We start from the raw sequence: 25,507 nt of genomic DNA on the forward strand, positions 1-25,507 counted from the left end.
GTTTCATAGATCTTTGGGTTTTCAAAAATTAAAGCTCATACTTCTGTGACAAAAATAAAAATATTTAAGTTAAAACCCTTTTTTAAGCATTTTATGCCTTTATTTTGGCACCTTAATTTCTTGCCATTATAGTTCTTTCTGGGCAGATATAAAGTGTAATTGAGATATAAAGTCACAATAGTACCTTTGTTCAAATTTTTGCTAAGTGTTACCTAGTTTTTATTTAATATTTTATTCTAAAATGCAGTCCTACCAATAGGCCTTTGGGAGTATATATTAGCATATATACTATACCAAATATATTAGTATATATTATATATAATAAAATATATATTAGCATATATACTATACAAAATATAGTACATATTTAATTAAATCTGTTTATCAAGGAGGATTTAAAACTACTTGTATCAAAACTTCAGGGTTTAGTTGATCCTCAATTAAAATCTAATAATCTTAAGAGTAAGGAAACACTAATGGTCATCTGTTCCAACTATCTTCTATAACAGTAATGTGGCCAAAAGAGCTTCAGTCTTACATTCCAGAATTTTTAGCTAGCTTTTTTAAAGGTCTGATGAAAACAGAATGAATGAGGGTTTGAGGGTTATAAAACCTTTGGGCTGGGTGCAGTGGCTCACACCTGTAATCACAGCACTTTGGGAGGCTGAGGCGGGTAGATCACTTGAGCCTGGTAGATCACTTGAGCCCAGGAGTTTGAGACCAGCCTGGGCAACACATGGAGACCCCATCTCTACCAAAAAAAAATAAAATAAAATTAGCGAGGCGTGATTGTATGTATCTGTGGTCCTAGCAACTTGGGAGGCTGAGATGGGAAGATGGCTTGAGACTGGTAGGTTCAAAGGCTGCAGTGAGCCATAATTGTACCACTGCAGTCCAGCCTGGACAACAGAGTGGTCTCTAAAAAAACAGAGTGTCTCTAAAAAAACAAAAACCAACCTTTGTTAATTATGAACAAGTTTAATATGAGCATAAATTTTTTTAAGGTTCTGAACTATCTAAATATCTAAATACAGTCCCTCCGTGTACTTAGGAGACTGGCTGTAGGACTACCCCTGCCCCCTACCATGTATACCGAAATCCACACATACTCAAGTACCGCAGTCAGCCCTGAGGAATTACTAAAAAAAGAGACACCCCTCTGTATATGCGGGTTTTTCATCCCAAATACTGTATTTTCAATCCATGTTTGGCGGAAAAAAATTCATATGTTAATTGGACCAGCACAGTTCAAACCTGTGGTGTTCAAGGGTCAACTGTCTTATTGTTCTGAGATGGCTCCTCAAATATTTAGGTTTTTAAAAATGATAGCATTTTGTTTATACATTTTGATTTTTATATCATGCTTCTGTTTAAAAAGCTAGGACAATGAACACAAAATCTTAAGTATCAAATGAGTAAACATGATCAATATATGTAGACAGAAATGGAAATTAAATGTAACTTTTGAAATCCAAGGTGAAATTTCTTAACTTTCCTGTAGATGTTGTGGTTTATGTATGAGTTCAGGTGATATACTTTATTTCTTTCTGTTTAAAAAAAATGTTTCTTAAGTTTATTTGAACATTTCAATATTATTTCTATTTAAAACTTTTCTTTTATCCAGTTCCTAGAAACCTTTTGCTGTCTGTTATTTTTAGCCCTCACAGATCAAATTTAGCTGTTTACCAGTATCAAGAGTAGAATGCATGTTAAAGCTGCCATCCCTGGATTTGGTGTTTTCTTCAAACCGAGGAGAACTGGAGACTTTAGGGACTACATATCCTGCAGAGACTTTATCCCCTGGAGGTAATGCTACTCAGAGTGGAACAAAGACTTCTGCTAGCAAAACTGGAATACCAGGTATAGATAATGTTCTTTTATTCCTCTAGTATAAAGCCAAATACTATTTTTAAATCAATATTTTAATAGTAATTAATACATATTTTAAAATATATTTGGAAAAGGGGAATATTTGAGGATTATTTATAGAAAGAAATCTATAGCAGACCAATGTTTTGAGTATATTTCATGTGTTATTTGAACTTGAGTTACCCTTTGGTTTCTGTTTTTAGCTGAATGGCAATTAGACAGCATTTTGAATATGGCTTGAATGTACATACTACAAGCGCTATGACATAACTACTATATAATAATCCACATGTTCAAGTACTTTTGAATATCTTTTATCTTAAGCTACATTTGACATTAAGGAGTAATCAGTATTATAAATGGAAAATAAGAAACATAGTGTTACCTTACAGGGATTTCTTATCACACTGGGTGAAAACTGTATCAAGTAGCAGTAGCATATGTATTTTTAAATGGCAAATTTGGTTATACAACTCAAATATGTGTTTCATAAAGGTTTTGTTTTTAAAATATAATTGATTTCCTGAGATGATAGGCATTCCTCACTATGTTAAAGCTGGGTGCCACTTCTGTCCTAAAAATGAAATAGAGATCACACATGCAAATGGTAAAAATTTTATTGAATACCTCTGAAAAAAAGAGACTAGACTGAATGAAAACTGATAAGAAGACTGGAATGTCATTAAAATATTGGTTCTTAACCAGGAGCTATCTTGTTGGCAATATTAGGAGACAATTTTGATAGTCGTAACTGAGGGTGTACAGCTGGCAGCTAGAAGAGAAACCAGAGATGCTGCTAAACATTCTATAGTATATATGACAACCCCCTCCACTCCCAAATAATTATCTGGTTGAAAATGTCAATAATGGCAAGGCTGAGAAGGTTTGCATTAAGCGTGAAAAAAATAAAATCCCAAATTCCATTTTTGAGAGAGGCATGAAGACAGTGGAGGGGGAAATACCTTTCTGATTTGTAAGGAAATACAGCTTAGGTTTTGGGTCCTATTTTTAGAGAGTCATCTTAGATTCAAATCTTTATTCTAACAATCTCATCAAGCATCAGTTGGAAAAATTATTACAAACTGGCTTGTGAGAAAGCATCCCAAAAGTCATCTTTGAAAAACTGAAATTATATCTCTTAACACAGTATTTACTTGTATTAATGGGGAAATGGTTATAGGAAATCATTTGTTTTGCTGTGTGAATCTTTGAAAGTTTTCACAACAAAATTGGAAAACAAAAAGGCTGATACCTTAGAAATAAAGCTTTTGCTAATGTGGTCACCCATTATCTAGTACTTAGCTTCAAAATATTGCTGTTGGAGTTGTGTTGTCAACAAAATATTGTAGTGGTAGTGTTGGTTTTTGAAAAACATTTTCTGATTATAAAAGTTACACTCACTATTCATTATAGAAAATGAAAAGTACTAAAGGTGAAATGAAAATGAGAATATCCCTTTATCCTAGATAACTAGTGTTGTCAGCGATAACACTACAACATTTCTGTAGTGATACCATATTTTTCCAAGGCAAAAATTGAAATATGGCCTCTTCTGCTATGTAACTTTTTAAAATTTAAAGTATCATAGGTATTTTCCTAAATTATTAAATATTCATCTCTAAAATTAATGGCTATAAGATATTCCATTGTTTGGATCATATACTTGAGATTCTGTGGGTTATTTTGCTTTCAAAATAATACTAAAATCAACATCTTTGTATGTAAATATTTTTAAACAAAGATATATTCTTAGGAGAAATTCTTAAAAGTGGAATTTCTAGGTTAGGAAGTATGAACATTTTGAAAGTGTTTGATACATTTGCTTTCTGGTAAGACTGTAAGATTTCTACACTCTCATCACAGTGTGTATGGACACCAGCTCACTGTATTCTTCCCAACACTGCTTTAAATTTAATTTTAATCATTGTCAATGTGATGGATTAAATTTGGATTTTATTATTTTAATCTGTACTCTATTACTTTATTAGCTATTTCTTGGGAGTGGTAAATATATGCCCATGCCCATTTCTCTTTTGGAATGTTAATCTTTTAATGACAAACTGTCATAATGTCATAAATTATTAGCACTTAAATTAATATAGCAGTATATATGCACCATGCTAGGAATAGGTAGTGAAAGGAATATGAAATGAGAAATTTTTTATGCCCAAATTTTATGATTCCTTAGAAAACAACATAAATGAATAGCACCCCTCATTTTATCATTATTTATTCAAGGAATGATGATAAGAATATATAGGTTGCGACAATATCCATTCTTTCAAAGGATCTTTACTTTGTGGTCTGGGTCAGTGCTAGGGCATAGTAATAGTGAACTTAGCTAGTAGATGTGGTCCATACTTACTAATGTGGAGCCTAAACTGAATTTGGAGAAACAAGTAATAGCCCAGCAAACAAGTTTATTTTAAATGGAAACGTGAAGTAAGTATGGGTTAGCGAAGCAGAGAACTGGGGGAATGGACACTCCCAGGAGAGAATACAAAATGCACGAAGAAGAAACAGTTTGTCAACTCTGAATAACAAAAAGGAAAAAAAAGCCATTGTTAAGTGTGGAGACTGGCATAAGAAAGGTTTAGAGAGATAGGAAAGAGCCAACTCATGTGGGAAAGCCACTGAAAGGTTAAGCAAGGGAGTGGATATGATTCACACACATACTTTTAGAATACCAGTCCAGCTGCAGTGTGGCAGTTGATTGGAGTAGCATGAGGCAAGGAGAGCCATTTCTGCAGTCCAGGCAGAGTTAATAATTGCTTAAGCTAGAATGGCAGCAGTGAGATGGAAGGAAATGGACAGACTTTATATGCCTGAGATATAGAAATGATGAATGATAAATTGCATGACAGAGTCAGGAGTAGGAAGGATGACGGATAACTCCCAGGTTTTGGTTGAGCTATTTTCTTTTTATTTATTTATTTATTTATTTATTTTTTTTTTTGAGACTAAGTCTCACTCTGTTGTCCAGGCTGGAGTGTAGTGGCGCCATCTCAGCTCACTGCAGCCTCTGCCTCCTGGGTTCAAGCAATTCTCCTGCCTCAGCCTCCTGAGTAGCTGGGATTACAGGTGCGTGCCACCACGCCCGGCTAGTTTTTGTACTTTTAGTAGAGATGGGGTTTCACCACATTGGTCAGGCTGGTCTCAAACTCCTGACCTCGTGATCTGCCCACTTCGGCCTCCCAGAGTGCTGGGATTATAGGCATGAGCCACTGTGCCCAGCCTGGTTGAGCTGTTTTCATGGAAGTATTCATTTACTGGAGATGGGGACCACTGGAAGAAAAACAAATTCAAGGAAAAAGATCAAGAGTGCAGTTCAGTTTAAATGCCTGTGACCCATTCTAATAGGAGGTCAAGTAGGCAGTTGTAATATATAAATCCAAAGGAGGTCTGGTCTGGACATACATTTTGGAATCACCAGCAAAATCATTTAATAATCTATTCAAATGGTCTCATATTTTTTATGTTTTTGGAATTTACCTGTCCATCCCTAGTAAATGTTACCAACAAGGACACTTGGCTCTCTAACAGATTTTTTTACTTTCTGCTTTTGCATACCTTGCCCTGTTTCCACTGCACCTACTGAAATGTGGACTCCAAGTATATGATATGGATTTTTTTACAGTATGTTCTCCCCCACTTTGCTTAAGCCCTAGCTATTTTGGGCCTCTTCCACTGCCTGCTTCTAGTAGTGAAGGAGAAAAGAAATAGGAAACCATGCAGTAGGCCAAACATATATATAAAAATAATTGTTTTAAGGATGAACAGAGTATTCAACCCTGGTGTAAATTAATTGGAAAATACATCTAAGTCTTTATTTCAGTTTTAAGGATTTAAATCTATTGATCTGTTAAATCTATTGATCTGATGTTTGAGTGTTTCCATTTTATTCTGAAGTCATGTCTGGTTCTTAAGAACATATTATTGACTGGCCTTTTTTTCTTGTAGCTTATATTTTCAATTTCCTGTGCTCACTGTAGGTTCATCGGGATTAGGCAGCCCTCTTGGCCGAAGTCGACATAGTAGTAGTCAGTCAGACCTGACCAGTTCCAGCAGTAGTTCATCTGGCTTGAGCTTCACTGCATGCATGTCTGACTTTTCCCTTTATGTATTTCATCCATATGGAGCAGGGAAACAAAAAACTGCTGTTTCTGGCCTCACACCTGGATCAGGAGGATTAGGTATACTTTGCATGTTTATGTCTTTTTCAGATTTACAGCATCTTTTCAAGCTTTCAAGCTTTATTTTCATAAATCATAAGGACATAGCCAAGATCAGATGCTTTTTGTATTTTTCCTCTTTGATAATACCTATCTCATATTTACGTAATAAGTAGACATATACAATAAGTAATTCAGGTGAATTAATTATACAAGAATTTTAAAATTCAGAATATTTTCTAAGCGGTATACACAGCACAGTAATCTCTGGATATCAGAGATTACTTATGTTATTGAAATATTTAAATGTCTTAGCAAATCACTGTCCATTTATACAACAAACTGCGTAGAAAGTAAAATTTTAAAGTGCATGGGTCACAATTGTTAATTTAAAAAGAGACTATAATTTAAGTCAGCCATTTCGTGAAATTAAATTTCATTGTCACTTTGAAGAGCAGATAAAACACTGCAAATGCATAAAAGCTTCTTATTAGTAACTAACTCTTGACTTGTATTTAAATAAATGATGAAAACATATATTCCACGTCAATTCTAGTTTCTATTGTTGGAGAAGGGTTGTAAAAATCACCAATTATGTTTGTGGGTTTGAACCTCTTAAATTGTTGTTAGAAATGCTAATGCTCATTAGATCCCTCTGCTTAAATTTTTACCTCAAGTGATTTTAATTCATGGCATATTACAGTATATTAGATAATTTTCACCTAACTAGACAGCTGTGTGTATATATGTATATATAGATGTGGGGGTTGTGTTTGTTTGTTTGTTTTAAAGGGAATGTGGATGAGGAGCCCACTTCAGTCACTGGTCGAAAAGATTCACTCAGTATAAACCTTGAGTTTGTAAAAGTGAGTTTGTCACGGATCAGGCGTTCAGGAGGTGCCTCATTTTTTGAAAGTCAGTCTGTAAGCAAGTCTGCAAGCAAAATGGATACTACGTTAATAAATATATCTGGTACTCAATTTTATAGTTTTTAAATTAAAATACTGTTTTCCAAAATTAAATAATGGCCTCTGTTTTAATAGTGTTTAAATATTAAGTCACTTAATGTTAAGCTTTCAGTGATAAGTTGATATAAAGGAGAGGAATGCCCAGCCTACGGTACTGTGTCAATCCAAGTAATAAATGTTAGGAATATAATTTCTAGATAAATAGACATATCACCCAAGGGCCAAGTATGCCTAATTAAATCAGTAAAAGTTGCTTCTTTTCTTCACTTTTTCTCCACCATGAATTGGTACAGTTTCTTTTTGTTCTTCTAATTGTAAATGCTTAAAACACTAAAACGGGATGAGTGATGTTTAAAAATGTTTACTTGATGTCAGAAAACCTTGAATTGTGTGCATGTATACTGCTGGTTTTATAAACATCTATATAACTATGGGCAAGTCATTTCCTTTACATTGCGATTTGAGTGTTTAAAAGTAAATGCAAATAGACATTCTGAAGAATCCAGAATACTGAGTAAAAACTTTCATAATTATGAATCAAATAAATATGGTATGTTCACTTAACCCAATATTCTGAAAATATATATTAAGCCTGTGTTTTAGGGTAAACTTTTACCTGAGATTGCTAGGTGATTGAGGGGAGCAGGCATGAATAAGACAAGGTCTTATGTGTAGACAAATAAATGAGTCCAGGATAATAAATGCTATAATGGAGCTTTCTACAAAGAGAAGGAAACAATAAATTCTGTCTTGTATGAGAAATCAGAAAAGGCTTCACATAGGAAATGTTATTTGGCCCACATTTTGAAAAATGAGTAGGAATATTCTTGGAGGTAGCAACATGGTATTCAATGGCACAGAAGCATCAAAATGTATGCTTCTGGATCATACTTTGATTTGCTGTGGCTGAAGCACAGGGTATAAGTGAACATTTAATTGGTTGGAGCCAATTAAATGTTGAACATTTAATTGGTTTAAGTGGATGGAGCCAGAAATAGAGAGGCTAGAGGTAAAGCTGATAAAATAGGACCTGATTGTGGAGGGACTCATATCATATGCCATGATAAAGAATTGGGTTCTGATTATTTCGGCACTGAGAAGCCATTAGAAGTTAAGAAATGGGTTGATGCTTCAGAATGGTGTTTTAGAAAGAGAGTTGAGGGTAGCCTGAAAGACAGGAAAGAAAAGATGCTTGAGGAGGCTGCTGAAGTAGACCATGCAATAGTAGATGAGAGCATGAACTGTGGCAGTAAAAAAAGGAGAAAAGGGAATGAGGAGTGGGTTCAAGAGAGATAGAAGAGAATCCATAAACTTAAGTATAAGTTGTATTAGGGGCAACAGAGGAGACAAGAATGCCTCAAACTTTTAGCTTAGATGACTGAAGGAGCAGTGAAGCCATTAACTTAGAAAATAAAGAAGGAAATGTCTATAGGACATTTAGGTGGAAGGTTCTGGTAGACAACTGACTTAGCGGGTATCGCTATGTAGGTATGGGCTCAGACAAAAACAGAAATTTTAGCTGTGGGAGTCATTGGCATGTAAACCCTATAGAAACTATGGTAGAAGAATAGAAGAGCACATACAACAGGAGTAGAAGAATGCTCCAGAGCAGAACTCTGGAAGAAGGCCATCAAAATGTTTTTTGTCTAAAGTCACTGCTATTAGTCTGATAGGAAAATAGTAGTCCCTGCCACACAGCTATTTGGTTTACAATTCCTTTTGAGAAAATTTGTATACCAGCTCATCCTGATGATTCATTTTCCATAATAGAAAAGACTGCTGTGTTAAAATTGAAAGCTGGCTATCAGACTGATCTTTAGAACTTCTCTGAGGATTTCATGATAAAGTGATAATAGAATTCCAACTTGCCATCACCTCAAAAAAGGGAAGTGGTACTAACAGTGTTAGAATGTGCTGTTTTTGTAATTTGTGGAAGAATGTAACACTAATCATAATATGTAACTTAAGTATAATTCAGCTGTGTAATAACCCTGTCTTATACCTACCATGTGAAAACATTAAAGGTTTTAGAAATCTGTACTAACAAATGTTATTTATGTATCAGCTGTTTGTGATATAGGGTCTGCCTCCTTTAAATATGATATGCGCCGACTCAGTGAAATTCTGGCATTTCCAAGAGCATGGTATAGAAGAAGTATTGCAAGACGTCTATTCCTTGGAGACCAAACTATAAATTTGCCAAGTAAGCTTGTTATGTAATTTTAATTTTGGTTACTGTAGCAGCAAGACCTACAATTGATAACACAAACGTGATCTTACTTGGCAGGGTGTACCATGTGATGCGTTCAGTCATTCAAGAAATGTCCATTGGGCCCCTCTAATATGCCAACCACAAGGGATATATTAGCACTGAGGATATATCAGAGAACCAAAAAGACAAAAAGTTTTGTCTTCTTTGAGATTACATTCTGGCTGAATAAATATAGTTTATTCTATAACTATCCTAACAAATTAGTAAATTTATAAGTTAGTTAATTTGTTAGTAAATTTATTCTATAATGATTACTCTGTAATCCTTTTAAATATCCAAGTTAATCATGGTTAGCGAAGCATGGGAAACAGAAGATGCTGGGGACATGTTACTAGCTTGCCTGCATTTGTCTGCTGGATTTAGATATTGTTGTAGGTAATGAAATCAAGAGATTTTTGGAAATGAAAACTAGAGTCAGTTACATAGAGGTAAATTTGAGAAACCCTAAGTCTGAGTGTATTCCCTCACCTGTAAACTGAGACCAGAGGTCCTGTTTTGCTCTTTTCATGGAGTTTAAACAAAACACTGGCATGTTCTTTGCAAACTGTAAATTGCTGTACAGCTGCTAAATAGAGAACTAGAAGGAATATGTAATGTGATTAGAAATGATGGATGGGTGAACTTATTTTATAACATAGGGATTTTACCCTGTTACTTTGGATTTTTTGTTTGTTTTGTTTGTTTTCTACTAGCATCTGGCCCAGGGACACCTGATTCCATTGAAGGGGTAAGCCAACACCTTTCCCCTGAATCATCAAGAAAAGCTTACTGCAAGACCTGGGAGCAGCCAAGTCAGTCAGCCTCCTTCACCCACATGCCTCAGTCACCTAATGTGTTCAATGAGCATATGACAAACAGCACCATGTCACCAGGGACAGTAGGACAGAGCCTAAAATCCCCAGCTTCCATAAGATCAAGGAGTGTATCTGATTCTTCAGTTCCTCGAAGAGGTAACACTGCTCTTTTTGTTATCAGTAGCCCTACAGTGTTCTCAGGATAAAATCTTAGTTACTCTCAGATTTCAGCCCTAACTATAGGAAAATAAATTCTTGAGGTTTTTATGACACGTCAAAAAAAAAAAAAAAAATCCCCAACACAGTAAAAACAACAAAACAAATATTTCAAAGTATTGCCATCAAGACAGCTAGATGGCCAGTAGCTTTACAAATAGATAAGGGGAGAGGAATTAGCATATTGTTTGTGTGCTCCATATGGGCTTGGCCTTGTACTTGTGCCTGATTGTATAAAAATGAATGATGTAGTTCTCGTCAAAAGATTAAAATATAATGAGCAAATGCAGGATTCAAGATATATACTAAGTCCATAAGAACACAAAAGACAGGCACCCCAACCGGCATCTGCATTTCAGAATGGTTTCTGCCTTTGAGTCCTGTATTTGGCAACAGCACCTTATGATTTTCTTCTTTGTTAAACAGAATCCTAGGGTGATGCATGATCTGTGCTGCTATATCCCATGCACACCAGAATTTCCTCATATAAAATGGGGGCCATACATAATTTTATGAGCTTTCAAGAGGTAAAGCTGCCAGCACTTATAAACATTTAGTAAGTGGTAACTATTATTTTAGAGGCAATAGGATAACCATTAAACATTAGATTCTAATACAAGAATATTATATTTTTACTTTTTGGATTATAGCAATAAAAATAGTTTTTGCTTTGTAACTAGCTTGGCATTTATGTGAATGAACATGTATTTGATTTTTCTATTTTTAGATTCACTTTCAAAAACATCAACTCCTTTTAACAAATCAAACAAAGCAGCAAGCCAACAAGGGACCCCATGGGAAACACTTGTCGTGTTTGCTATCAACTTGAAGCAATTAAACGTTCAAATGAATATGAGTAATGTAATGGGAAATACAACGTAAGCTATTCAGATACAAAGGAAATGTATTTAATCATTTTTGTAACTTTTCTTCTACTGTAGTAAAGATATTCAGAACCTTTTTTGAATGCTAAATATTTGAAAAAGAAGTAGATAAACGATATAAAATGTTTTATCCTGAAAATGGCTTAATTCTAAGGATACTGCAATATAAAACATCATGAAATATATGTTCTATAAAAAGGGAATCAATTATAAGGAGAACAGGGTAATTTTCTAGCTTTTCTAGCTAGGAGTAAAGCTTCATTATCAATGTTAATATTCAAATATTTACCACACAGTTTTTATATAAAGTATGTTGTTTCATTGTCAAACTTGACCTTTTAAATAATCTGATTTAACTCCTTTTTAATTTAAATCCTGTTTTAATTCATGACACTGGAAGCTATATATATAATAACCTTTTTTTCATTTTTTAGTTGGACAACTAGTGGTTTGAAGAGCCAGGGCCGTCTGTCAGTAGGAAGTAATCGTGATCGAGAGATCAGCATGTCTGTTGGTCTGGGAAGATCACAATTAGATTCTAAAGGAGGAGTAGTTGGAGGGACCATAGATGTCAATGCTTTGGAGATGGTTGGTATGTTGAAATTTTAAAACTGACCTAACATATCCTTAAGATATATATATCAAAAAAAATGCTTTTGGAGATGGATTCTCATGAGTTTTTCCCATGGACATGTCTGTCAAAATTAATTATTGTTTCTATTTTAGCTCATATTTCTGAACATCCAAATCAGCAACCCAGTCACAAAATTCAGATTACTATGGGTTCTACTGAAGCTCGTGTTGATTACATGGGCTCAAGTATCCTCATGGGCATCTTCAGTAATGCTGATCTTAAGCTTCAGGATGAATGGAAAGTAAACTTGTATAATACATTGGATTCAAGCATAACTGATAAAAGGTATTTATTAAGGATTACTTTTTGGACACTTTACATGACTGTTCTCAACATATTGTCTATCATCTGGTGAGAAAACAGCAATTTTTCTTACAAAACTCTTATTTATTATGCAATTAATACAAATTAAAAAGCTGGGCGGGGGAAGAAAATGTTTCTTGTACTTTTTGAGTATCTGCTGTAAGACATCTGACAAAGATTTTGTTTTATGCTCTAGTGAGATTTTCGTCCATGGAGATTTGAAGTGGGATATTTTCCAAGTAATGATATCAAGGTCAACCACACCAGATCTGATAAAAATAGGAATGAAGCTCCAGGAATTTTTCACACAACAATTTGATACCAGCAAACGAGCTCTGTCTACCTGGGGACCAGTTCCTTACCTTCCGCCAAAGACAATGACTAGCAACCTAGAAAAAAGTTCACAAGAACAATGTAAGAATTAGAAGTAAGCTTTTATATATGCTTTATCTTTCACTAAATATGTTACATTTTTAATTTAAAATAATAATAATCTGTATGCCCCACTTAGAAAATAGCCCACAGGCTCTTTATCTCACTCAGTTAGCAAAGGACCAGAATTTCTACCTGCCAATGGAATTAGAGGCCATCATTTAGGAAGACATCATTTGTTATCTCTTCCCCCTGCTGCAGTGCATCTGCATCCATACCCACTCCACGCTCTTGAATAGTGTTTATGAGAATATCATGTTCTGGTTTAGAATGTCTGTGGAGTCAGAATATCTGAATTTGGATTTATTAGGTGATAAGCAGGTCATTATTTTCACTTAGCAATTCAATTGGCAAATATTTATTAAGCTACAACCATGTGCTTAGGCACTATTCTAGGCACAGGAGATCTAGTGGTGGACAGAATCACTACCCTCATGAAGCTCAGATTCTAATGGGAGAGAAAGACCATAATAAATTTACTAACTAAATATATAAGATAATTTCAGTAAGAGAGAAGTGCTAAGCAAAAGAACAAAACGGGAAGAATATAGAGAATGATTAAATGTGAGGATAGCTATTTTAGAAAGGGTGATCATTTAGGCCTTTTCTGAAGTGACATTTTAGTGGAAATGTGAATGAAAGAACAAGGCTAAGATGTGGGGGAAGAGAGTTCCAGGCATCGGGGGATACTGAGTCCAAAGTTCCCCTAGTAGGAACAAACTTGGCTTGAGGATCATTAAGGTTGCCACTGTGGCTGGAACAGAAATGAGCAAGGACGAAAATGCCGGACATGAATTCACAGAGGTCTACTACAGGTAAGATTTTTAATATGATGGTTAGCTATCAGAGAGTTTTAAACAGATTTGATATCGGATTTATCTTTTCAAAAAATACTCCCTTTTAAAGTTCACTCTGGCTACTGTGTGAAGAACAGACTATAGGCAGTTAAGAATGGAAGGAAACCATTGCAATAATTACCATTATCATTGTTATGTACATAGTTACATCATTATTGTAAGGAAGCCATTGCAAGAGTCCAGGCAAGAAATGGTGGCTTTCACTAGGATGATAGAGGTGTAAGTGGTGAGAAACAGTCAGAATGAGGATAGCTTTTTAATAACTTTATTATCACAGAAGTAATACGTATACATTGAAAAAAACTAGAAAACACAAGAGAAGCAAAAAATAAAACCATCACATTCCACTCAGAAATCACTGTGAACACCTTAGAGCATACACCTCCAGATATTTTTCTGTGTATCTGTATATATGCGTACATTTTAAGAAAATATCAAAATTCATACCATTTTGTAGGTCAACAATCTCCAACTTTCCATTTTGCTAATTATCTCCTTTAGCTTTCAAAACACATTCAAATTTCCATGATTGATCTAAAAATGTCCTCTATAATGGTTTTGTCCAAACCAGTTTATCCAATCCAAAGTCACAGGTTAAATATGGTTATGTTCCTTTGCCTTCTTTTAATTTAGCACAGTTCATTTTTTATATGAACTGACTTATTGAAGAGATGTAGCCAACTGTCCTAAAGAATTCCCTACCTTCTAGATCTTTTTCAGTTACTTCTTTGTGGTGTCATTTATGTTTTTCCTGTAGTCCATGTATTTCCTTTAAACTAAAATTTATATTAGGCATATAAAAATTGAGGGATGTTCTGCAAAATGCCTGGCCTGGATTCTTCAAAAAAACTCCTCGTCACAAAAAACAAACATAAAGGCTTAGGGAATTGTTTAAAGGAAAACATAATAAATGAATACAATTCATGATCTTTGGTTGGATTATGGGTGAGAGGTATGGAAAACAGCCAAAAGGAACATTATTGGAATAAATGGAAAATAAACGTTGTATGTTTGATTAGTGCTTCTCAAACTTAACATGCATCTGAAACCCCTGGAGATGTTATTAAAATAAAGATTTTGATATAGTAGGTACAGGTGGGCTTAAGAGTCGGCATTTCTCACAAGCTCCCAGGCAATGCTGATTCTGCTGGCCCTCTGACCTTTGAGTAGCAAAGGAATATGAGTTTAAAAGCAGTACTTAAAATAAGGGGGTCTGCATTTGATTTCTAGGTCTTCCAGTTACTGGTTCACTTAACCTCTTTGTTCTTCTGCTTATTCACTTGAAATCAGTCAAGATGAAATATCTAGTTTACAAAGTTATAATGAGAATTGAGAATTACATAAAATTCCATGCAAGTACTTTGTAACTCATTAATCATTACAGACATATTAGGTTTTGGTTTTTCTTTTTTTTTTTTTTTTTTTTTTGAGACAGGTTCTCACTCTGTCATCCAGGCTGGAGTGCAGTGGCACGATCTCAGCTCACTACAACCTCTGCCTCCTGGGTTCAAGCAATTCTCCTGCCTTAACCTCCCAAGTAGCTGGGACTACAGGCGTGCTCCACCGCACCCAGCTAATTTTGGTATTTTTAGTAGAGACAGGGTTTCACCATGTTGGCCAGGCTGGTCTCGAACTCCTGACCTCAAATGATCCACCCGCTACGGCTTCCAAAAGTGCTGGGTTTACAGGCGTGAGCCACAGCACCCAGCCTCAGACATATTAGTTTTAATTATTTTTAGCAAGTTACTACTTTCCTTAGCTATATCCATCCTCATGCAGCATCTTTTCCTAGAATGTCTCTTTATTAGCTATTGCTTAATGTTTAACAGGCACTGGACACTGTTTTCATCCCTCACCTGAGACTGTAGAAAGTAGCCACTTGCTGCCTCACTCTACCCTATCCAAGGGTACTCATTAGGCACTTCAGGATATGTGTTTTTTGGTTTTCTTGCAGTACTTGATGCAGCACATCATCGACACTGGCCTGGAGTATTGAAGGTGGTATCAGGATGCCACATATCCTTATTTCAGATTCCATTACCAGAAGATGGAATGCAATTTGGAGGATCAATGAGCTTACATGGAAATCATATGACACTGGCATGTTTTCATGGTCCAAATTTTCGTTCAAAATCTTGGGCCCTTTTTCATTTAGAAGAACCAAATATTGCTTTTTGGACTGAAGCTCAGAAAATCTGGGAAGATGGTAAACTGACACATTTCCAGCTTTTACTTTCTCCTATCTTCTGTTATGACTATAAATGACAATTGTATTTCTGAAGTCCATCTCTGTTTGTTATCATGTATCTGACATGTTAAGGAGTTCACTACCAATAAGTCAATATTTATAATGTCTGGAACATGTTAATTTCTGAACTTGCCATCTTACTCCATGTTTCTTACTTAGGCAATTAAAGTTTCTGCTGCTGTGGCTAAACATAAGTCATGGTAATAGTTACTGTAATCTTTCTTATAAAAACATGAAGTGAAGGCAACATAGTGGTAGTGTGAGGAAATTATTTGCCAGTCAAGACTATATTATAAAATATATAGGCAAGGCTGTGCTTTTATCTCTACAGTGATAAACCCATTTCCTTTGAGCTTTACTTTTCTACTTGGTGGTTTCTACATTGAGGGAAAAAAATGTTTGATGTTTGATGCTTTCTTCATCTTACTAGGGACAAATCCAATTACCACTAATAGAAGAATTATTTGTGAATTATTTGGTTTTTATCCTCATTTATTCTTCATTTTTATAGCCTTCCTATATATGACAACTGAATTTATAGCTCTGAGGCCACAATTATCATCTTGAATCTAAATATGGTTTATTACTTTAAAAAAGTATTTTTATTTTGTTGTAGGCTCCAGTGATCATTCTACATATATTGTACAAACACTAGATTTTCACCTGGGTCATAATACTATGGTTACCAAACCATGTGGTGCTTTGGAAAGTCCTATGGCAACAATAACCAAGATAACAAGGCGTCGCCATGAAAATCCACCCCATGGAGTAGCAAGTGTGAAAGAATGGTTCAATTATGTTACAGCTACAAGGAATGAAGGTTAAAATTTTGAGTCTTTGGAGAGATTTATTTTGTTTTTTCCATTTTGGATTCTGTTGACTGTGTTTAGAATTTAAATGGAGATGGTGTTTTCATTTCCTTAAACAATTTTCATTTTAATCTTGCTGGCTGACACAAGTAATAATTATTTAATACCACCCTGGTAATGTGGCATCTCATGGACTCAACTTATTTTAGATGTTATTGAAAACATTCTAAATAAAATTGGCTTTAAATAAAATTAAGTTTATTACATTGAGAAATATTTTAGGAAATATTTAGGAAATGATTCTGGAAAAATATTTTTCTAGTAATGCTAAAAAATGGAAGTTTGGGGAGGTTGTTACACAACTAAATAAAGGAATACCACAAACTTAAAGTTCGAATAGCTAGAACAAAATGAAACCAAATATTATCATTCTATCAAGTTGTAAGTTTAAAAGAAAGTGCTTTTGATAGTTTTTTTTTTTCATTTGATTAGATACAACAGTCTTGTGATAGTGTGGTCATGATAACTTATTTTGTGGTGCTTTTGGGATTTGGGTTTATAGTATTGCTTTTACCAATTATCTCTGTGTATTGGAAAGCTGACTAGATTGACAGGTGTTGAGACTTTTCAATGTTTTACATAAAAATGACCTTTTTTCTTTTCTTTTTTTTTTTTTTTGAGACAGAGTCTTGCTCTGTTGCCCAGACTGAAGTACAGTGGCATGATCTTGGCTCACTGCAACCTCCATTTCCTGGGTTCAAGCGATTCTCCTGCCTCAGCCTCCTGAGTAGCTGGGATTACAGGTGTGCGCCACCACGCCCGGCTAATTTTTGTATTTTTAGTAGAGACAGGGTTTCACCATGTTGTTCAGGCTGGTCTCGAACTCCTGACCTCGTGATACACCCGCCTCAGCCTCCCAAAGTGCTGGGATTACAGGCATGAGCCACCATGCACAGCCAAAAATGACCTTTTTTCAAAATGGAAAAGATTAGGCCCCATGAGAACAGTTACCATGGAATAGGCCATCTCATGGATTGAATAGAGACTGTTAAAAATGTTCCTAGAACAAAGGAGAATAAGAAAGTGAATCAGAAGATTATGCCTGTACTGACTATTTTACCTTCCAAACAGGGATTTGGGGGAAGGGGGATCTTTATGGCTGGAGTGTCCTAAAGCGTCTATTAGCATAATGAACTGCTGTCTGAAGAAAAATACTAATTATTATAATTCTAAGACCTATAAAAGGTCTTTATAAAACTAAGACTCTATAGTTTAATCATAGCACATATGTTGGGGAAAATCAGTACTTCTACCTGATTTCAAGACCAGGATCCTATTTAATCTCAAATTCTTTAAGAGTGAAGTGTTCAATCTATGGAGCCCTTTGGGCTTAGTGAAATTCCAACTTCAGACATGAATTCAGTTGAGAATAATATTCATTTTAAAATCCCAGAAACCAAAGCTAGAATGTATTGGGTTTATACAAATCCCATTATAAAGCTTTGGTCTTGACAACAGTGAGCTACTGATATAGATATACTACATATATATCTATATCATATGTATATATATAAATATATGTATATATACATATGTATATATATACATATGTGTCCATGTATATGTATATATCTGTATACATAGATATATGTAGTATATCTATATATAATGTGATTCTTTCCAACTTTGGAAATAATAGTTCTGTATATTATAGTTGTCTTGAAAGCTATATAGGCTTGTCAATGCCTATTGTTTTAATTTGACTCTCTCTTTATCATTATGCATGTAGAGCTAAATCTGCTTCGTAATGTTGATGCTAACAACACTGAGAATAGCACTACTGTGAAGAATTCTAGTTTGTTGAGTGGATTCAGAGGAGGTTCTAGCTACAACCATGAAACAGAGACTATCTTTGCATTACCAAGGATGCAGCTTGACTTTAAATCCATTCATGTTCAAGAACCACAGGAGCCTTCATTACAGGGTATGTAGAAAAACAATTTAAAGTTAATAAGAAAATTCTAAAGGCACTTCAAACTACTGCTGTGTTCCCATGGATTTTTTGTAATACTAATATCTAATGAAATTAATTTTCTAGGCAAAATTGATTTATTTTCTTATCAGCTATATGACCTCTGGAAAATTATTTAACCAACTTATACCTCTCTCTCCTCAGTAAAATGAAGAAGAATAATTGGACTTCATTTATAGGACTATTATCAGGAATAAATGGCATATATAGGTTGAGCATCCCAATCCAAAAATCTGAAATGCCCTAAAATCCAAAATATTTTGAACACTGACATGACACAGGAAATGCTCATTGGAGGATTTCAGATTTTTGGATTGGGGTTCTAAAACCAGTAAGTATAATGCAAATATTCCAGAATCCAAAATTTGAAAGACATCTGATCCCAAGCATAATTGGATAAAGGATACTCAATCTGTACTAGGGAAGTGCTTAACAAACTATCATCATCCTGTAAATCACATACAGATATTACTCATTTCTTTACAGTTGCATTTCATGTGGATGCATTTACATAGACCTATATAAATCCTTATTAATGGGAAGATGACTCATTTTATTAAATCTTTTACCATATTATTGCAGATGCCAGCCTGAAGCCAAAAGTAGAATGTAGTGTGGTGACAGAGTTCACTGACCACATTTGTGTGACTATGGATGCTGAGCTCATCATGTTTCTTCATGATTTAGTATCAGCTTATCTTAAAGAAAAAGAAAAAGGTGGGTGGAATACTCTTTTTCTTTTAGGCTGCAAGAATGGCAGCTGTCAATGCCATTTACATGAATTGTTATGGTCTAATGAGAAAATGAGTGGAATATATCTCCCGTGAGTTGAAGATATCAGTAAATAGCGTTAGTAAGACTATCACAGACTTTCTGAGTACTTGCTATATATACAGCACCAATGGTGTTTTATACTTTACAAAGTGTTTCTGTATACATTATCTTATGTACATTTTCAGTTAGATCTTACAGGAGATTCTTGAAAAATAGGAAAATGTGAGAAAATACTGCAAATCAAAGTGAAATGACTAAAGAAACAACTACATAATAAAGAAGCATGAGTTATTTACCTAATTGTGAAAACTGAATTGAGAAAGCTGATAAATGTTTGGAATGCAGAAAACATTTTCTTTTTAATACATAAATTATTTAAATCTCAGTGGTGGTATTTGGGTTCATGAGCTTGCTAACATTGGTTTACACACTGGTAACTTAATGTTTACCCATTAAGAAATGTATGGTGGCTGGGGGCGGTGGCTCATGTCTGTAATACCAGCACTTTGGGATGCCAAGGAGGATGGACTGCTTGAGCCCAGGGCTTTGAGACCAGCCTAGGCAACAAAGTGAGACCCCATTTCTACAAAAAATACAAAAATTAGCCAGGTGTGGTGGCACATACCTGTAGTCCCCAGCTACTCGGGAGGCTGTGAGGTGGGAGGATCGCTTGAGCCTGGGAGTTCAAGGCTACAGTGAGCTGTGAGCCATAATTGCACCACCACACTCCAGCCTGGGTGACAGAGATCCTGTCTCAAAAAAAAAAAAAAAAAGTATGGCAGCCCTAATATCTGGAATTAGCTAATACATTATAGTACTCTCTAACTGTTTAAAAGAATGAGGTAGTTTGAAATGTAATGATTTGGAATGCTTACAAAATATATGGCCATTTATTCATTCAATATTTATTGCACCGTTATGAATATACAATGGTAAAATCACATATGTGCTTCCTAATAAATAACTTGGAATAAATGTAATTTGTTCAAGTCACACTATAATATTGTTTCATTTTCTTCATGAGGAAAAAATATAAAATTTGTCTTGACTTTTAAAAATAAAGATTATCAAACGACCATGTTGAAAGAGTACAAAGGTAGCATAGCATACATTGAAATGCTCTTTTATTAATATTCAATTGAGATGTGCCCAAAATTCAGTGAGAGAGTAAAATCAATAATGATGGCTGGGAGAAATCTATATGACCTCAGTAGAAACTTCAAGTAAAATGACAGAAACTGTATAATAGGCAATCTTGTATATTATATATAAGTAGATAAAATCTTCACATACAGCCCCAACAGATACCAGTCACTGGCAATCCTTTTTGTTTTTATGCCTTAATATTTAAACTTAATGTAGAAAAAAACAGATTCAAGACAAACCTGTGAAGTTCAGAATTATTTTCTAGTCTACCTATATTTGAAAACCTGACAAATTTGTTTCTCTTGGGTATGATGTGAAACATTTGTCATTTTATGAAATAGTGTGTTGGTCTTGGTCTGCCACAAACTACGTGTATTTCTAAAAAACAACAACAAAAAGACCGTTTTAATATAAACTGTTATAAAACATTTCAATGGGAAAAGGGGGTGGATTTACAATAACAAAATATGTATGTGAGGATTTCAATTATAAATAAGTTATTACAAACAACAAGCACTTCGTTTTGGCCAAAATACTCAAATATACCTGAGAAAATGCTTAACAGCATGTCAGACTATACCAGAATCAACATATTTAGAGAACATCAAAATAAATTGTAGCACTGTAACCACCACCAGTAATAAACAAAAACCCAGCAACTGAGCAGGCCTTAACTGAACAGGGCATCTGTGTTCTTACGTAGTGCGTTACTATGGCTTAATTTTGAGGCTCATTCCCAATCAAGTTATAACCGGAGCTATATAACACATATTACCTAATTATTCAATTATTTCACGTCCAGTTTGTGTATTGAAACTAATGCCCTAAGAGGAAAGCTGTATTCATTAAATAAGATCATATGAAAATATTAATGGCAAAAACTGCAATTACTTTTGCACCACCCTAATACCTATGTTGCAGATTACACTTTATATATAATTATTATAGCCAATTAAAAGACTTGTCTTTATAAAGAGTGAAAAGTCTGCTTAAATAAAAACCTCTTTAGTACCACTGTTCAAATATATATACAACTAGCCATTAGCATACAAAAACCATTGAATTACACAGCTTAAATTAATGAATGGTATGGTGTGTGAATTATATCTCAAAGCTGTTAAAAAAAAAAACAAAAAAGGGAGCGGGGAGGGATAGCATTAGGAGATATACCTAATGCTAAATGACGAGTTAATGGGTGCAGCACACCAGCATGGCACATGTATACATATGTAACTAACCTGCACATTGTGCACATGTACCCTAAAACTTAAAAGTATAATAATAATAAAATAAAAAATAAAAAATAAACCTACTACAGCCATTCTTTAGGAAACCTACAACTATCAATTTCAGTGCCATAGGCTTGCTATCAAGTCAATGATCTCAGCATTTTTTATCATTAATGTTGACACTGTTAATCTCTAAGAATTATCAATAATTGGTACTTATGGCTTATTTTAAAATATTATTTTTAAGAAATGCAATTAAATGAGGCTTTGGCCAGGTCATAGATAAAATGAGAAATGAAACCAATTCTGTTCTAATTCTTATGGTGATTTAACATAAATGTATCATACTAATCTAAATTTTCCTTATAGCCATCTTTCCACCTCGGATTTTATCTACTCGACCAGGACAAAAAAGTCCAATTATTATACATGACGACAATTCCTCTGATAAAGATAGAGAAGATAGCATCACTTATACTACTGTGGACTGGAGAGATTTTATGTGCAATACATGGCATCTAGAACCTACTCTTAGGTAAGTAATGAGTATATACATTTACCCATATGCTAAGGGATTACTATGAGCAAAAAGTTATGAATAATGTAAGTTACATATGATTATCAAAAAATATATTCAGAAGTTAGTCTCCTGTAATGTCTATAGCTTCTGTGTGCTGTCTTTGCTGCTTCTTTCTGTATTTGTTTCTAGGTAAGGCGAATGAAGTACAAATGTTGAGAATAGCTCAGCACTGATGAGTTGTCCAATGGGTGACATTACTAAAATATGAGAATAATTGTCCTTCCACTGTTGCCACTAGTTTTTCACCTTCTCACCAAGATGTTATTTTCAGGGTTTGAGGTAGCTACTGTAAACTGTTTTGTTACTTAGTATGGCAAGATGCAGCAGAAGTCATATTTAATTGTTAAGGAACTATTTTAATTTCTTGCTGTATATATGTCATAACACTGTAATAAAACCTGCAGCATCACAGTGCCCCTCTCTTTGCATACTAAGCATTATAAAACCATGCCTAATATCTCAAATTTAACACTATCAGATTAAGGTTCCCTTACTGAGTCATGGTCTACTACAATTATCCCAATTAAATCACTATCCCAAAATTTCAAAAGTATTTTTTAGTTTCAGTTATATTTATGATAGTTTCTATAACTAGTGGTGCTTGCTTTGTGTGTCCTTGTTTGTGATTAACACTAACAGCCTTCCTGTTTTTTTTCCTTTCATCTCATCTGCTTTGTTAATCCTGTTGTAACTGTCTGAATCCTGAAATAACACTATTTTTAAAAATCCATTACATCCCAGCACAACATTCTGCAAAATGATATACATTTTATTTAGATAAGGTTTTTATTCAGACATATTTATGTCACAAAATAATTCCAAAATAAAATCTCCATTATGCAGTGAGGACTCTTGTATAGGCAGAAAGTACTGACTTGGTGTGTTAATAAATAATTGGCATACAGTAAAATTTGTTGTAACTAAATAAGCAAAACACTTTGGTACTAATAGTGCATATACCCATGAGAAATATTAACTGTTAAAATACTGCAGAGGTCCTAATGCAGAAAACTATTTGTAAAATCTGTTTTGTATTTGCAAATTTAAATAATAATGTATTTAAATTGAATACAAAATGAATTTAGTTTCAAGTGAGCATAAAAATAGTTACCATATTCCTTTTTTTAGCAAACTATCAAGAGTATCTAGTTAAGTAATGTGGTATAGTGGTAGAGAGCGTGGTTTAAGAGCTCTGGCTGTAAGCCCAGCTCTTTTGCATAGTAGCTGACTGAGCTAGGCCAAAACACCTAACCCCTCTGTTCTCTCTGCCTCAGTTGACTCATGAAAAATTTGGAAAATGGTATTACCCACCTTGTAGGATCGTTACACTGGTTAAATGAATTAACGCAAAATGCTTATAACTATTTGAGTTTGAGGAGATCAATGCCTAACCACCCCCAACCCCCACCCTGAGTTCAGAACCAATTGAAATAGTGGGAGAGATTAATATGGATAAAGCTGATAACAAGACATGTGGCTTAGATATACGGCAACAATAGCTTTCTACAAAGTTCGGGTTTGGTCCTACCTGCAGGGCATCGATGCAGAACTTAACTTCGGGGAAGGGCGGGATGGGGGTTGCTGGAGTTGTACAATCAGCAGCTCTATGTATGTACTCAGCCACAGACAACATAGAATACTCTGGGGCTAACCTGTTTAGGGGCTTGCTCCTGAAAAACCTGTGGTATGAAGGAACAGACTAAAATGAAGGGCTCCATGAGGGAGGAGGGTACTGAACTGTTACTTCCTCTGTTAACTTTGCCTGTTGGATAAATCATCAATACAGGGGCAGAAGGTGGCCAGGAGCGGTTCAGTAACAGCTGTTTCTCCACGTATAAGGAAATAGCAAGAATAGGGAAAAAATGGTTCTCCCTTCAAATATGTTTAGCACATAGCACTCAGTAAATTTTAGCCTTTTTCTCCCATTATGCCACATGCTTATGAAATCTACTAAAATTAACCAGATGTCCTTTTATATGTTTAAGATAACTGTATAACAGGCCTAAAATATTCAGGATGAAATATAGTAAACACTATTGCTGTGTTTAGGTTGTCAAAGAGATTTATAATCATACATATATTATTTTTTGAATGCTATTATTATGGTGAATCCAGGAATTATGGGCTCATTTATACAAATGTACCTACTGAAAATATTTTGTCTTGAGTATATTATAGAGGCTTAGTGATGTTCTTTTCCTACCATTAGAACCATGCTTTAGGGCATTACACTCCTTAATAATAACTGTAATTTTTATTTTAGATTAATTTCTTGGACTGGAAGAAAGATTGATCCAGTAGGTGTTGATTATATTCTTCAAAAATTGGGCTTTCATCATGCTAGGACTACTATTCCTAAATGGCTTCAAAGAGGAGTCATGGATCCACTGGACAAGGTTCTGTCAGTTCTTATCAAAAAGCTCGGTACTGCACTACAGGATGAAAAGGAAAAGAAAGGCAAAGACAAAGAAGAACACTAAAAAAGTAATTTGATCTGTGAACAAATTATGATTGTGTCTGTTTTATTACACTGGAGTGTTTTTTTAGTATAATAATTTGAAATATAACTTTAAAATAATTCTAAATTTGTGGCTATAATTAAAAGTTTGTAAGTTAACCTGTTCTAGTTCCATCATTCTGTGTACAGTGAAGTATTGCATGATAATGTAAATTTTGTGAAAAACTAGATTAAAATATATAACTGCTTGTTATGGTTTATAATTATATAATGTGCAATACAATTCCTGCATCTTTAAAATGTCTGCAGAATAACTGTGAATTTTTTTGTTATTGGATTGGCCGTAACTTTTAGAAAAAAATCTTGTTGATGATAATGTGATTTTGGGGAGGTCATTAATTGCTTTTTCTTTTTTAAATGTAGACTTATATAAATACCTGTTTGTATATAGCTTGAGTAATTGTGATATGATTGTATACCACTAAAATATTGTTAACTATTATAATAAAGTCACAGTAATGGTTTAAGTCTGTAGTAGTTTTTCAATCTTTTTCTCCTTTTTATAATTAATAGATGCCCATGCTGTGTCACAGCTGATCAGATGCTTTCATAGAAGATGATGATTTATACCTATATTAGAGTTGGGCCATAGGTTCTACCTCTGTGGATTCAATGAACTGCAGATCGAAAACAAACATTCAGGAAAAAAAAAATATTCCACCCAAGTTCCAAAAAGCAAAACTTTTGTATTTACCAAGTACATTAAGTCCACATGAATGAAGTGATGTGTAGGCATTTTATTAGGTATTGTAAATAATCTACAGATGATT

The 25,507-nt window shown here is 34.4% G+C and overlaps 1 protein-coding gene across 39 annotated transcripts in view; it reads left to right on the forward strand.

The window, feature by feature from the left end:
- Positions 1–25,204, forward strand: part of BLTP1 (bridge-like lipid transfer protein family member 1) — a 210,422-nt gene extending 185,218 nt beyond the window's left edge. For 38 of the 39 annotated variants that reach the window (XM_047416253.1, XM_047416259.1, XM_047416258.1 and 35 more), the window contains 15 exons: positions 1,659–1,860; positions 5,862–6,062; positions 6,834–7,013; positions 9,075–9,212; positions 9,974–10,231; positions 11,019–11,169; positions 11,610–11,767; positions 11,902–12,094; positions 12,309–12,526; positions 15,356–15,607; positions 16,266–16,469; positions 18,248–18,442; positions 19,073–19,207; positions 22,009–22,174; positions 24,483–25,204. In XM_047416253.1, coding sequence (XP_047272209.1) covers positions 1,659–1,860; positions 5,862–6,062; positions 6,834–7,013; positions 9,075–9,212; positions 9,974–10,231; positions 11,019–11,169; positions 11,610–11,767; positions 11,902–12,094; positions 12,309–12,526; positions 15,356–15,607; positions 16,266–16,469; positions 18,248–18,442; positions 19,073–19,207; positions 22,009–22,174; positions 24,483–24,699 — 2,868 coding nt within the window. In that variant the 3' untranslated portion in view covers positions 24,700–25,204. Of the gene's footprint in view, positions 1–1,658; positions 1,861–5,861; positions 6,063–6,833; positions 7,014–9,074; positions 9,213–9,973; positions 10,232–11,018; positions 11,170–11,609; positions 11,768–11,901; positions 12,095–12,308; positions 12,540–15,355; positions 15,608–16,265; positions 16,470–18,247; positions 18,443–19,072; positions 19,208–22,008; positions 22,175–24,482 lie in introns of those variants that run through there. The other variant, XM_047416273.1, reaches the window with a different exon arrangement.

This window comes from Homo sapiens, chromosome 4 (assembly GCF_000001405.40).
Source record: "Homo sapiens chromosome 4, GRCh38.p14 Primary Assembly".
Taxonomy (NCBI): domain Eukaryota; kingdom Metazoa; phylum Chordata; class Mammalia; order Primates; family Hominidae; genus Homo; species Homo sapiens.